This window comes from Homo sapiens, chromosome 21 (assembly GCF_000001405.40).
Source record: "Homo sapiens chromosome 21, GRCh38.p14 Primary Assembly".
In the NCBI taxonomy this organism is placed as follows: domain Eukaryota; kingdom Metazoa; phylum Chordata; class Mammalia; order Primates; family Hominidae; genus Homo; species Homo sapiens.
In genome coordinates, this window is record NC_000021.9 from 15,777,541 (window position 1) to 15,789,764 (window position 12,224).

At 36.5% G+C, this 12,224-nt stretch overlaps 1 protein-coding gene across 14 annotated transcripts in view; it reads left to right on the forward strand.

The window, feature by feature from the left end:
• USP25 (ubiquitin specific peptidase 25) overlaps nucleotides 1-12,224 on the forward strand; it is a 150,083-nt gene that overhangs the window by 47,559 nt on the left and 90,300 nt on the right. For 13 of the 14 annotated variants that reach the window (NM_001352560.2, NM_001388301.1, NM_001388302.1 and 10 more), the window contains exon 4: nucleotides 364-487. The exons of the other annotated variant lie outside the window; for it this stretch is intronic. Coding sequence is in view for 7 of the 13 variants with exons in the window: in NM_001283041.3 (NP_001269970.1) it covers nucleotides 364-487 (124 nt within the window). In the remaining 6 variants the exon portion in view is untranslated. The remainder of the gene's footprint in view (nucleotides 1-363; nucleotides 488-12,224) is intronic. 14 annotated transcript variants of the gene reach the window in all.

Below are 12,224 nucleotides of genomic sequence, written 5' to 3' on the forward strand. Positions count from 1 at the left end.
TCAGAAAGCAGAAATGTCAATGTTTAATTGTATTGATTTCAATTTTTGTTGATAAACCATTCTCAGCAGTCTTTCTGCTTATTAGCTTTTAATAAGAGACCTCATAGTAAATACAGAGATTCTTCTACAGTGAAATATATTTCTGCTTACTGCTTTAGGTATATTTTATCAAAAAAATCATTGAGTTACTGAGTATGACCAGTTAAAAATATGTTTGCATTTATTTTTAGATAGGCTTTTAGAAATACAAAATTAGTTGGTACTGACTGGTTTAAAGAGTATATTGGATATAAAATCTCCATAATAAAAATCCTTTCATTTTGTTTTACTTTTAATTTTGAGAAAGATAGTTTTGCTTTTCAGATGTGATTGATCTCACTGGAGATGATAAAGATGATCTTCAGAGAGCAATTGCCTTGAGTTTGGCCGAATCAAACAGGGCATTCAGGGAGACTGGAATAACTGATGAGGAACAAGCCATTAGCAGGTAAAAACATAATTTGTATAAAGCAGATATAAGTACTTTTAAAAATAGAAATCATTAATTGGGTTAAATTAATTTTAAGAGGTAATAAGATATACTTTGTTACTCTAAACTAGTAATATGCTTGTGTATTTTTAAATTTTATGTAACCAAAATCTTCATATTTAGTTTTGATTGCAATTGGGTTTAGATTTTTAAGATTTTGGGATGGTGTTATGAGGGATTACATTTAGGTGCATATTTTAATATTTCTTTCATTTTTTTTCTTCCCCTAATCTTTTTTGGATGCACTGTCCAATTTGCAACAATTTATAGCAAGGGTCAGCATCCTTTTTCTGTAAAGGGCTAATAGTAAATATTTTTGGCTTTGTTGGCTATAGGGTTTCTGTTATAGCTATTCAGCTCTGGTGTCATAACGCAAAAGCAGCTATAGCTGATAAATAATATAATGAGCTTGGCTGTATCCTAATAAATCTTGATTTACAAAGGCAGCCAGTTGGTTTTGTCCTCTCGGCTGTGGTTTGCTGACTTCTGATCTATAGCATGATAATATGTTTATATATATTGTTCAAATAAATGGGCAGGGCTCCAAGATGTGTGCTAGAATGCAGTTTTTCATTTAATAACCAAAACTTTGTAGTTTGAAACAGTTTGATTCATCTAAGGACTAAAAAATACATTTGGTTTTCATAATACCTCTAAAAATGGAGATATAATAATTTAATAAGCCATAAAGTTGTAACTAACTGTAATCCTCTAAACAACTATTTGAAGGCAGTGGTAACTCTATGTTACTGAAGAAGAAATTTACTTGCAAGAGGTTAAATGTGCTTTTTCCAAAGGCACACAGCTCAGATGCATCTTAAGACTTAAATGTTCTTTTCCTTTAACATAGTCCTTTGGTAACAGAATGTACCAAATTTCTCAGGTAATTTTTCTTGGCACAATATCAATAGGAGATTTCTTTCCAAATAATCAGAGATTACTATATGGTAGGAAATGTTTCAAAATGCTATGTTTAGCAAAGGCATATAATTTTTTATCTTAGTGCGACTTTTTAATGTCTTTAAATGTTACTTTGGAAACTACTTTGTAAGACATTATATTATGTAAAGACTTAATTAAACTCTATTGTCCCCCTCATTAGTTGTGGCTAATATTTATTGCCAGGAACTTTAAATGAAAACCAAAAAATACGTAGTTAGGCTTATTTTCTGAAGCATTTGAGAAATTATATGAATTGGGCTTTTTCTTTTTAAAACGTGTATTGCAATGCATAATTGTCTTGAATAATTATGAAACAACAATACTTAAACTTTGAGAAATATTTTAAATACAAAACACATGAGTTGGATTTCATATGTAAGGGGCATGGTTTTATGTGAAAAGGGTTATAAAAAGAATGTATACTTGATACAAATATTATTTTTAAAATTATATTTTTGTTTATATGAATTTATATGAGTATATGAATATAAAATATATGTGAGCTTATATACCCAATTAGTATCAGTCGTTCTATTATGTGTTTTCTAATTAAAACAACAGGTACTAATTATATAATAAAAGTAAGGTAATATAAAAAGGGATGAAGGCTGTTCCTAATTTGATATTCAGTTCAATGTATATGTTATATTATTGTTTTGGATAGTTGTTTTTATCCAAAATGGCAAAAGAAAATCTCTTCAGATAATGCTGTTTTTTCATTCTAGGTCTTTTACATTTTAATATAATTTAAAAATAGTAAATATTTGGTAGATATTATTATTGTAGATGACATAGAGATTCGGCATAATGTAACATGCCATAAAGCTATGCTCCCTAGAAGTAAAAGAGTCATATTAATTATGTGTAAATTCAATAACCCGCAATGAGCAAATGGGTGTTCAATGCAAAATATGCATTTAATAAACTTATATGTAAATCATATTGTATTAGGAAAAGAGGATGTGGAGAGTTCTAGCTAAACATTATCAGAGATATATTTGCTCATATGGGTTTATTAAGGTATAGAACTCTAAATTCAAAAGAGAAAATGATGCATTTTAAAGGAAGACATTTATATATTATGCTTAAAAGTAAATTAACTCCTTCTTCATTACTGAAGTTGATATAGGGAAAATCTTTGCAAATAAAATTCCAGAATCATTTGCTTATTATATTTTAGTAGACATAATTTAATGTGAAGTTACACATTAGGATACTACATTGTGTGTAATTTGATGAGATAAAGCCTGTCTTTTTACGTCTTAGAATCCTGTGTTTAGGCATTTATACGTTTCATGCTAAAATTTTTTAAGTAGAACGTTTTTAAAGTATTTCTTTATACACTTTTTAGTGTCAGAATTGGGTGTATTTATTATCTCTTGATTATCACTGCCAGGACACAAGTGGAGTATGGACAGTTGAAATTTGTTAATAAACTACATTGTGACTGGTTTGTGTCTATGGCATATTTCTTGTGAAAATGGCTTGCCTCATGAAATAACTTTGAAGTGCCTCATTAGAAGATAGTGCTAAGTTTTCTAGCTAAAATTGTTACAAAGAGCACGCACCTTCAACAATTTCAAGAAGTAGTAGACTACAGATTCTTTTTTTCCTCATTACTTCTGTGTTTCAACTAGTTATTTCTTGTTATCTTCAGCCTGGAGTTGCCATTGGGGAAAGAAAGAAGGATCATGTCCAGGAATAGTCAGGGTGGAATTCTGAATTATTAAAATAGGTCTGTATAACTCCTACATTTTTTATCCTTATCATTACTGAGGAAGCAGCTGTGAAGGGGAACTGTCTAAAGATGGTGTGTGAAACAGGAGTGGATGAGGGAGGCAGAGTTAGAAATCTTTTAAAATTGATCTTTGAGGAGGATTTCGGTGCTCAATAATTCCAGATACTTGTGGATGCTAAGGAGCATGGAAGGGCCATCGAATAACCATCAAACCATTTAAGGTGTGTTATGTCAGATTATAGATGATCTGGAAAAGTAAGAAATATGACACAGATTAGTTTCCTGGGCTACAAGGTTGTGGCTGCAGGTGACTGATGAACAGCAGCAGTGTAACTTGAAAAAGTATCAGCAACAGTGAGGTACCACTGATATCCCCAGGAAGAGGGATCAACTGGTCGATGTAGTCAGGCTGTCCGTGTGGCAGGAGCCACACCCCATGCAATGTGGGCTCTCCTACGGCCAGATACACAGGTCAACTTTTGGTAGGAATCACATGTCTGACAAGTAGTGGTAGCTTCTGTGTTAGAAACGTAGAGTTCCTTAATTTGTACTCTGTATACGATTGTGGATGTGATTCCATTTTGGGTATTGTGATTGTGGCAGTGGTGGTGATCTGGGTTGTGCAAGTTTGATCAAAAGCTTTATTCTGTTCATCTCATTGAAGAACACATTAGAGCACTCATCCATCACAATGGCTAAAATTAAAAAGACTGATGGGAAGTGATGTCAGCAAGATCGCCAACTAGAGTTGCTTGGCTATCATTTCCCTCACAAAAAAGGAACCAAAACAACGAATAAGTTTATTTTGTCTGGAGTGACTGAGGAAATGCCCTGGAGAGTACCAAGAGAACAGCAAAGTCCCTGTGGAGCATAGAGTCAAGAATAGCTCCACAGGGAGGAGACCAAAGTATCCTGCCTCTGCCATACTGTCTCCCCTGCGAGGATTGAATCAAAGCCAGGGGGTTCCTCTTCTTATAGGAAGAAGGTAAGCGGAGAATCATCAGTCCTCATCACCACCACAGGTGCCAGCAGTCACTGCTACAAGAGAGTTCCCCAGTCCTCACAGGTCCCAAGTCCAGCATGAACAGTTGCTGAAAGTGCATGTGGCTACATTCCCCCACAGCAGGAACCTCTTTGACACCCTGCACCCCTGCAATCCAAGCAGCTAAGGGATGACACAACTGTGAAACCAAGCCCACATCTGGAGTGCTTCCTGACCTGGAGGCCAGTAGCCACCCTGTATCCCAGAGGCATTGCCCTCATTCCACAAAGTTCACACAAGTGCCTCTAGCACTAATACCTTGGCTACTTGGAGCCTAGGCTCAAAGGCACAACTGGGGCCCTGATACCTAAACCCACAAGGCTCCCTATTACCCAGGGAAGCAGGTGGGCCTGCATGGCCGGGCAGCCCCATGCGGCCACCAGGCTAGTGTACATCTGTCCCTGGCTCTAGCTGGCCTGGAGGTGGCCCCACCCCAAGGGAGAGAGTAGTATACAGCCAGTGGGCCTGTGTGAACTTGCTCCCAGCTTGAATAGCTGGCCCAGAGGTTGTCTGCCTGTACCACTGGAGGATTGTGCACAGCTGCCGGGCCACAATTTCCTGCCTTTAGTCCAATAGCTGGTTTGGAGGCACTCTTTCCGCAGCTCAACCCTACATCACCAGAGTCATGCACAGCCTCCAGACCTGTGTGCATCCACCCCTGGCCTGATAGCCAGCCCAGCAGTAACCCTGCTGCCATTCAGGAGAGACAGTCGTACAACCTTTCTGGCCTGCTGCATCAGCATGTGCCTGACCAGCAACCAGCTTGGTGCCAACTCCAGAAAAACCATGCCACCACAGTCATGGGCTTCTGCATACTAAGTCACTGAGATAATCACGGACATCGCAGGTGAGGATTCCAGCTGAATAATCTGTTTGGACACCACAATACTGAGTCCACCCTGAACCAAAGCCACCACACGCCATTTCCAATCAGCACCCTAGGACCCATCAACAGGAAAAAACCTCTTCCTATGAAAGCTGCTCGTTAAAATTGGAAAAAGCAATTGTCCATTACATGCACAGGTACCAACATAGAGACAGAAGAATCATGAAAAAGCAAGGAAACGTGTCACCCCCAAACCTGGCACCACAATGCATCTTTAGTAATGGAATCCAAAGAAAAGAATATTTATGAAATGCATGAAAAATAATTCAAAATAATGACATTAAAGAAACTTTTGAGTTGTAAGAGAATACAACAATTTAACGAAATTAATAAATTCATTAGCTGAGTGAGAAATTGAACAAAGATAGATATTATGGAAAGGAACAAAACAGGAATCTTGGAGCTTGAGGAATTAAGTGAATGAAATTAAAAAAAATACAATTGAGAGCCACAGTAACAGACTAGAACATGCAGAATAATACATTTCTGAACTTGAAGACAGATCGTTTGAAATAACCCATTCAGAAGAAGAAAAAAAAAAAAGAATAACAAAGTATGAAGAAAGCCCATAGGACTTATCAGACACCATTAAGCAAACCTATATTCATATTATGGGAGTGCCAGAGAAAGAATAAGTGAAGAGAGGCATAGACCACCCATTTGGTTAAATAGATTGCCTGTGTCCTTCTGCACTTCTTGGAAGGAAGTCTTGGAAGTTATGGACATCTAGGAATGAAAAGATCCCCAATAAAATTCAGCCCCTCAAAATCCTCTCAAAGGTACACAATTCTAAAAGCTGTAAGACAAAAACATTACGTCACATATATGGGAATTCCCATTAGACTGTCAGTACATTTCTCAGCAGAGACTGCACAAGACAGGAGAGAGTGGGATGACATATTCACAGTGCTGGGAAAAAATAAAAATAAAATATAAAAATAAAAACTGTCAGCAGAGAATATATCCGGCAGTGCTATCCTTAAGAAATGAAAAAGAAGGGCCGGGCGCAGTGGCTGATGCCTGTAATCTCAGCACTTTGGGAGGCCAAAGCAGGCAGATCACGAGGTCAGGAGATCGAGACCATCTTGGTTAACATGGTGAAACCCCGTCTGTACTAAAAAAAAAAAAAAAAAATACAAAAAATTAGCCAGGCATGGTGGTGGGTGCCGGTAGTCTCAGCTACTTGGGAGGCTGAGGCAGGAGAATGGCGTGAACCCAGGAGGCGGAGCTTGCAGTGAGCCGAGATCGCGCCACTGCACTCCAGCCTGGGCGACAGAGCGAGACTCCGTCTCAAAAAAAATAAAGAAAAGAAAAAGAAATAGAGACGTTTCCAGACAAGCAAAGGTGATGGAATTCATCACCACTGGACTGGTCCTACAAAAACACTTAGAGGAAATAATAGGAAATGAAAGAATGATTAATACCATGAAAATATGTGAAAATACAAAACTCATCAATATAGGTAAATCCATAATCATATTCAGAATACCCCAGTGCTGTAATGGTGCTGTGTAATTCCTTCCGTCCTCTAATATGAAGGTTTAAAGTTAAAAATGTCAGAAATATCAACAGCTACAATTAGTGGCTAAGGAACACATGAAAGATAAAGATGTGGCTGGGCGTGGTGGCTCACGCCTGTAATGCCAGCACTTTCGGAGGCTGAGGCTGGCGGATCATCTGAGGTCAGGAGTTTGAGACCAGCCTGATGAACGTGGAGAAACCCCGTCTCCACTAAAAATACAAAATTAGCTGAGCATGGTGGTGCATGCCTGTAATCCAAGCTACTCGGGTGGCTGAGACAGGAGAATTGCTTGAACCCGGGAGGTGGAGGTTGTGGTGAGCCGAGATCACGCCATTGGACTCCAGCTTGGGCAACAAGAGCGAAACTCTGTTTCAAAAAAAAAAAGATAAAGATGTAAATTACAGCAATCAAAACACTAATCATGGTGGGGTAGGGGAGTGAGGGGAAAAAGTCTAGATTATTTTTGTGTGACCAAAGTTAAGTTGTTATTAGCTTAAAATAGTCTGTTGTAACTGTAAGACTCTTCATGTTAGCTCCATGGTAACCACAAGAAAAATTATAGTAGATAGACAAACAAGAAAGGAAACAAAGCTTAGCATTATAGAAAACCACCAAACCACAGAAGTAAACAAGAGGGAAAGAATCAAACGAGGAATCTTCATAATATTGAGAAAACAAACTAGCATGAGTAAATTATTACTTATCAGTAGTAACCTTGAATGTAAGTGGATTAAATTCCCCAATTAAAAAATATAGAGCAGCTGGATGGATTGAAAAAAAAAAAGACCCAACTGTATGTTGCCTACAAGAGACACACCTCATCATTAAATATAAACATAGACTGAAAGTGAAGGAATGGACAAAGATATCCCATGCAAATTCAAACCAAAAATGAGCAGAAGCAGCCATACTTGTACTAGATACAATAGACTTTAAGTCAAAAACTGTAAAAAGAGACAAAGTCATTATGTAATAATAAAATAATCAATTCACCAAGAAGCAAAACTGTAAATATATAAGCACCGAACACCAGAACATCCAAATATATAAAGCAAATATTATTAGATTTAAAGGGGGAAATAGACTCCAGTACAACAATAGTAGGGACTTCAGCATCCCACTTTTAACAGTAGACAAATGATTTAGAAACATGAGACTTAAACTACACCATGGACATTTACAGAACATGAACAGCCGCAGAATACACATTCTTTTCAACTGTGCATGGAATATTCTCCAGTAAAGATCGTATGTTAGAGATGGTATCAAGTATTTTACCAGATCACAACTATATAAAGCTAGAAATCAACAACAAGAAAAACGTTAGAAACCAACAAATACATGGAAGTTAATATGCACCTTAATAACCAATGGGTCAGTGAAGAAATTAAAAGGGTAATTAGAAAGTTCCCTGGGACAAAGGAGCGTGGAAACACATACAAAAACCTGTGGGACACAGTGAAACCTGTTCTAGAAGTTCATGGCAATAAATGCCTGCATCAGAAATGAGGAAAGATTTCTAATAAACAGATTAACTGTGCAACTCAGAGAAACCTGAAAAGCAAGAACAAATTAAACCCAAAATTGGTAGGATGGAAATAATAAAGCTTAGAGCAGAAGTAAACAAATAGAGACTAAAAGAGCAATTCAAAAGATCAGTGAAATTTTTTTGAGAAGATAAACAGAATCAACAAACCTTTAGCTAGACTAAGAAAAAAGGAAAAAAAAAAAGACTCGAATAAATAAAACCAGACATGAAAAATGAAACATTACAAATGTATCACAGAATTGGAGGATCACAAGAGACTATTATGAACAACTGTATACCAACAAATTCTAGAATATAGGAAAAATGGATAAATTCTTGAACACACACAACCTACCAAGATTAAATTGAGAAGAAATGGAAAAAATAAGCAGACCACAACGAGTGGGAGAATTGAATAACTGCTAAAGCCTGACATAAAGATCCCTAGTTTCTGATGGCTACATTGCTGAAGTGTGTCAAACATTTAAGGAACAACTAATATTAATTCTCAAACTATTCCAGAAAATTAAAGAGGAGGGAATACTTCCAAACTCATTTTATGAGGCCAGCATTACCCTGATTCAAAAACTAGACAAGGACACAACAAAAAGAAACAGGCCAATATCCCTGATCAACCTAGATGCAGAAATTCTCAACAAGATTCTAGCACGTCCGATTCAACGGCATATTAAAAACATCATCCACTATGATCGAGATTCATCCCAGAGATGGAGGGATGGTTCAACATACACAAATCAATAAATGCGATACATCACAGTAACAAAGAGAACGGAAACCATATAATTTCAGTAGATACAGAAAAAAGCACATTACAAAGTTTAACATCCCTTCATGATAAAAACTCTCAAAATAGATATAGAAAGTATGTACCTCAACACGGTAAAGACCATAGTTGAGAAACCCACAGCTAGTAGTATACTGAATGCAGAAAAAAATGAAAGCTTTTCCACTAAGATCAAGAACCTAACAAAGATGCCCACTTCCACCAATCCTATTCAACATAGTACTGGAAGTCTTAGAGCAGTTAGGCAGGGGAAAGAAATAAAAGACATCAAAATTGGAAAGGAGAAAGTAAAATTGTCTCTGTTTCCAGATGATATGATCTTAAATATAGAAAGCCCTAAAGAGTTCACCAAAAAACTGCTACAACTCATAAGTGAATTCAGTAAAAGTGTAGGACACAAAATTAACACACAAAAATCAGCACTTCTATATGCTAACGGTGAGTTATTTGAAAAAATAAGAAAACAATTTCATTTACAAGAGCTACAAAAAATCTAGATACCTAAGAATAAACTTAACCAAAGAGATAAAAGATCTCTACACTGAAAGCTATAAAACATTGAGGAAAGAAATATAAGACACAAACAAATGGAAGTAGATCGTATGTTCATGGATTAGAAGAATTAATGTTAAAATGGCCATACTACCTGAAGTCATCTCCAGACTTACTGCAGTCCATGTAAAAATTCCAGTGACCCTTCAGAGAATTAGAAAAGACAATCCCAAAAATTCATGTGGAACCACAAGAGAGCCCAAATAGCCAAAGCAAGCCTGAACAAAAGGAACAAAAGGTAGAGGCATCACTACTTGACTTCCAAATGTACTGCTAGAATATAGTAACCAAAACAATGATATTGGTGTAAAAAACAGACACATAGACCAGTGGAACAAAATAGAGAGCCCAGAAATGGACACACCTACAGCCAACTGATTTTTGACAAAAACTGTTAACTGGAGTAAATCTAAGAAATGTACAAGAACTTCCAGGAAGAAAATGATTAAATATCATTAAGACACATTAAAGAATACATAAATATTTTGAAACATTCGCTGTTTCATGAATTGGAAGACCATTGTTAAACTGGTCGGTTCTTCTTAAATTGATTTATGGGTTTAGTTTGATCCCAATTAAAAATACCGTTAGTTTTGTTTTTGCTTTTTTAGGAAATCAAATGAGATGTTTCATTACCCGCCGCCCCCTTTTTTTTTCTTTGTAGTTGATCTATACAGCTTAAAGTGTATGCATGTTTCTCAGTGAGTGTAATACTTCCCAAAAAGGGGCTTAGGTGAGCTATGAAGTGGGATATTTTCAGTATTACTGCTATAGGCAATTTAACAACACAAAAACAATAAAATAATAACACCCCCTCACCCCCCCCCCAAGTAAAACCACCGTGTAATAAAATTTAATGGAAACATGATGATCTACCATATGTAAATGCTTTAAACATTTAGCGTAGTGTGTGGAAGGAAAAGACGCAGCAAAACATTTTGTCGTCTTTTTATATTGCTTACTACCAAGGTCATGACCAATTTTGAGAAGATAAAGCAAGGTGATAGGTCAGACTCGTTTTTGGTATGTGGCTTGCGAGTTTACCCTTCAAACATTTTGTTATAGGCTATCTCTGAAATTTGCCTTTTTTTTTTCTCCTCTACCAGCTGGTAATACCTGGATTTTAGCCACTGCATGTCTTATACTTAAGAGCTTGGGTAGTATCATTGGAAAGGCCAGGGGAGGAACCCTTATGCAGGATTTTGCTTTATAAAAAGTTTGGATTTATGGTGCCAGTACTAGATTATAGAAGGGGATCAGGTGGAGCAATAGAGCAGTATTGGAGCTAGAGATTGGCTTTTGCAATCAGTCAGTCAATCAATAACCAAGAAGTAGCAGCATTTAATATCTTCATCATCCATTTACTTTAAAAACGTGTTTATCACTCATTTATAATGTTTGCTCTAGAGGTAAAGCAAATTCTTGTTTCTACTTTTCAGACACTGATTGGAGACACTGGTTGATATTTTTGGCACAGTGTTAAGTGTGTTTATTAAGTTCTTTAGGAACCAAGAGGAGATGGTAGGAGGAGACCTACTGAGGCATGCTGTAAAATTCTGGTGATAAAATATGTTTAAATTAAGAGGGTCAGGAAATCATGGCATTCCCCTTTCACCTACATGCTTTTTTTTTGCACCACAATTCTACCATGTGGTATGGTTAAGGTGTATTGTGATAAACCCATTTCTTTAAAACCCATACTTTTGTTAACAGTGAATGACAATATCTACCATATGACTGAATTGAGCTACTTGGGAAATGGCTATTATTTTTAAATCTTAGGTGACTTTGAGGAGCAATCATCAATTACATGTATCTCTTGAACTTTAATCAAAGTTGTTACACTTTGTGCCTCATTTGATCTCTGCAAAGAAAGTTATATAGGAGTGCTGGGAAGATGTTGTCTTGGTTCGTATCCCTAACTTTCTTGCCCTTCCAACTTCCTTTTTGGAATGGTGTGACAAATGGTTCAGGCTTTACTTGCTCCTAGAAAGTACATTTGAGGCCACACATTCTTGCAAGTCCTGTGTGGGGAGAGAGAAGGCAAAGGAACTAAAAAGCTTACATTATCTCAGTATATCAATGTGATGTTTACATTAAATATTTTGTATGTAAACATGCCAATCAAGTGGTGTATATTTTTTGGTAGAGCAGAAGACGGGCGTAAAGGAATTGACTATACTTAAAACATTTCAAAAGACCTTCCTGGGGTTTAGTAATCTTAGCCCAGATCTGGAATGTGAAAAATGTACTTAGGGTGTATTGTGCAGAAATCAGATGTCCTCAAGTTTTCTGTAGCTGATGTATGTATGAACCATTTCCTGCTTATTGTGATATGTGTGATCTGCTCTGTTGACATTATTAAGAAGGATTTGTTTCTTGTTATAATTAGTAGTTAAATATAACGACAGATGTTCATATGCTATAGATTCAGGATTACGTCTGGTTCTTTTAGACTTTTGAGCAGTTTATATTTTAGAATATGCTGTAGAATCCTCTTTTTACATATTGTCTGTCTGCACTGGTACTAGTCAATTGCTGGGTACCTCTTCTATCTCTTATATAGGATCACTGGTACTATTTGTTTTATGGTATCGTTTTTATCTGCCTTTCCCAGAACTTATTCCATGTTTTAGTCTATTTATTTCTGACTACCAAGATACAAATAAGTTTGCTGTAT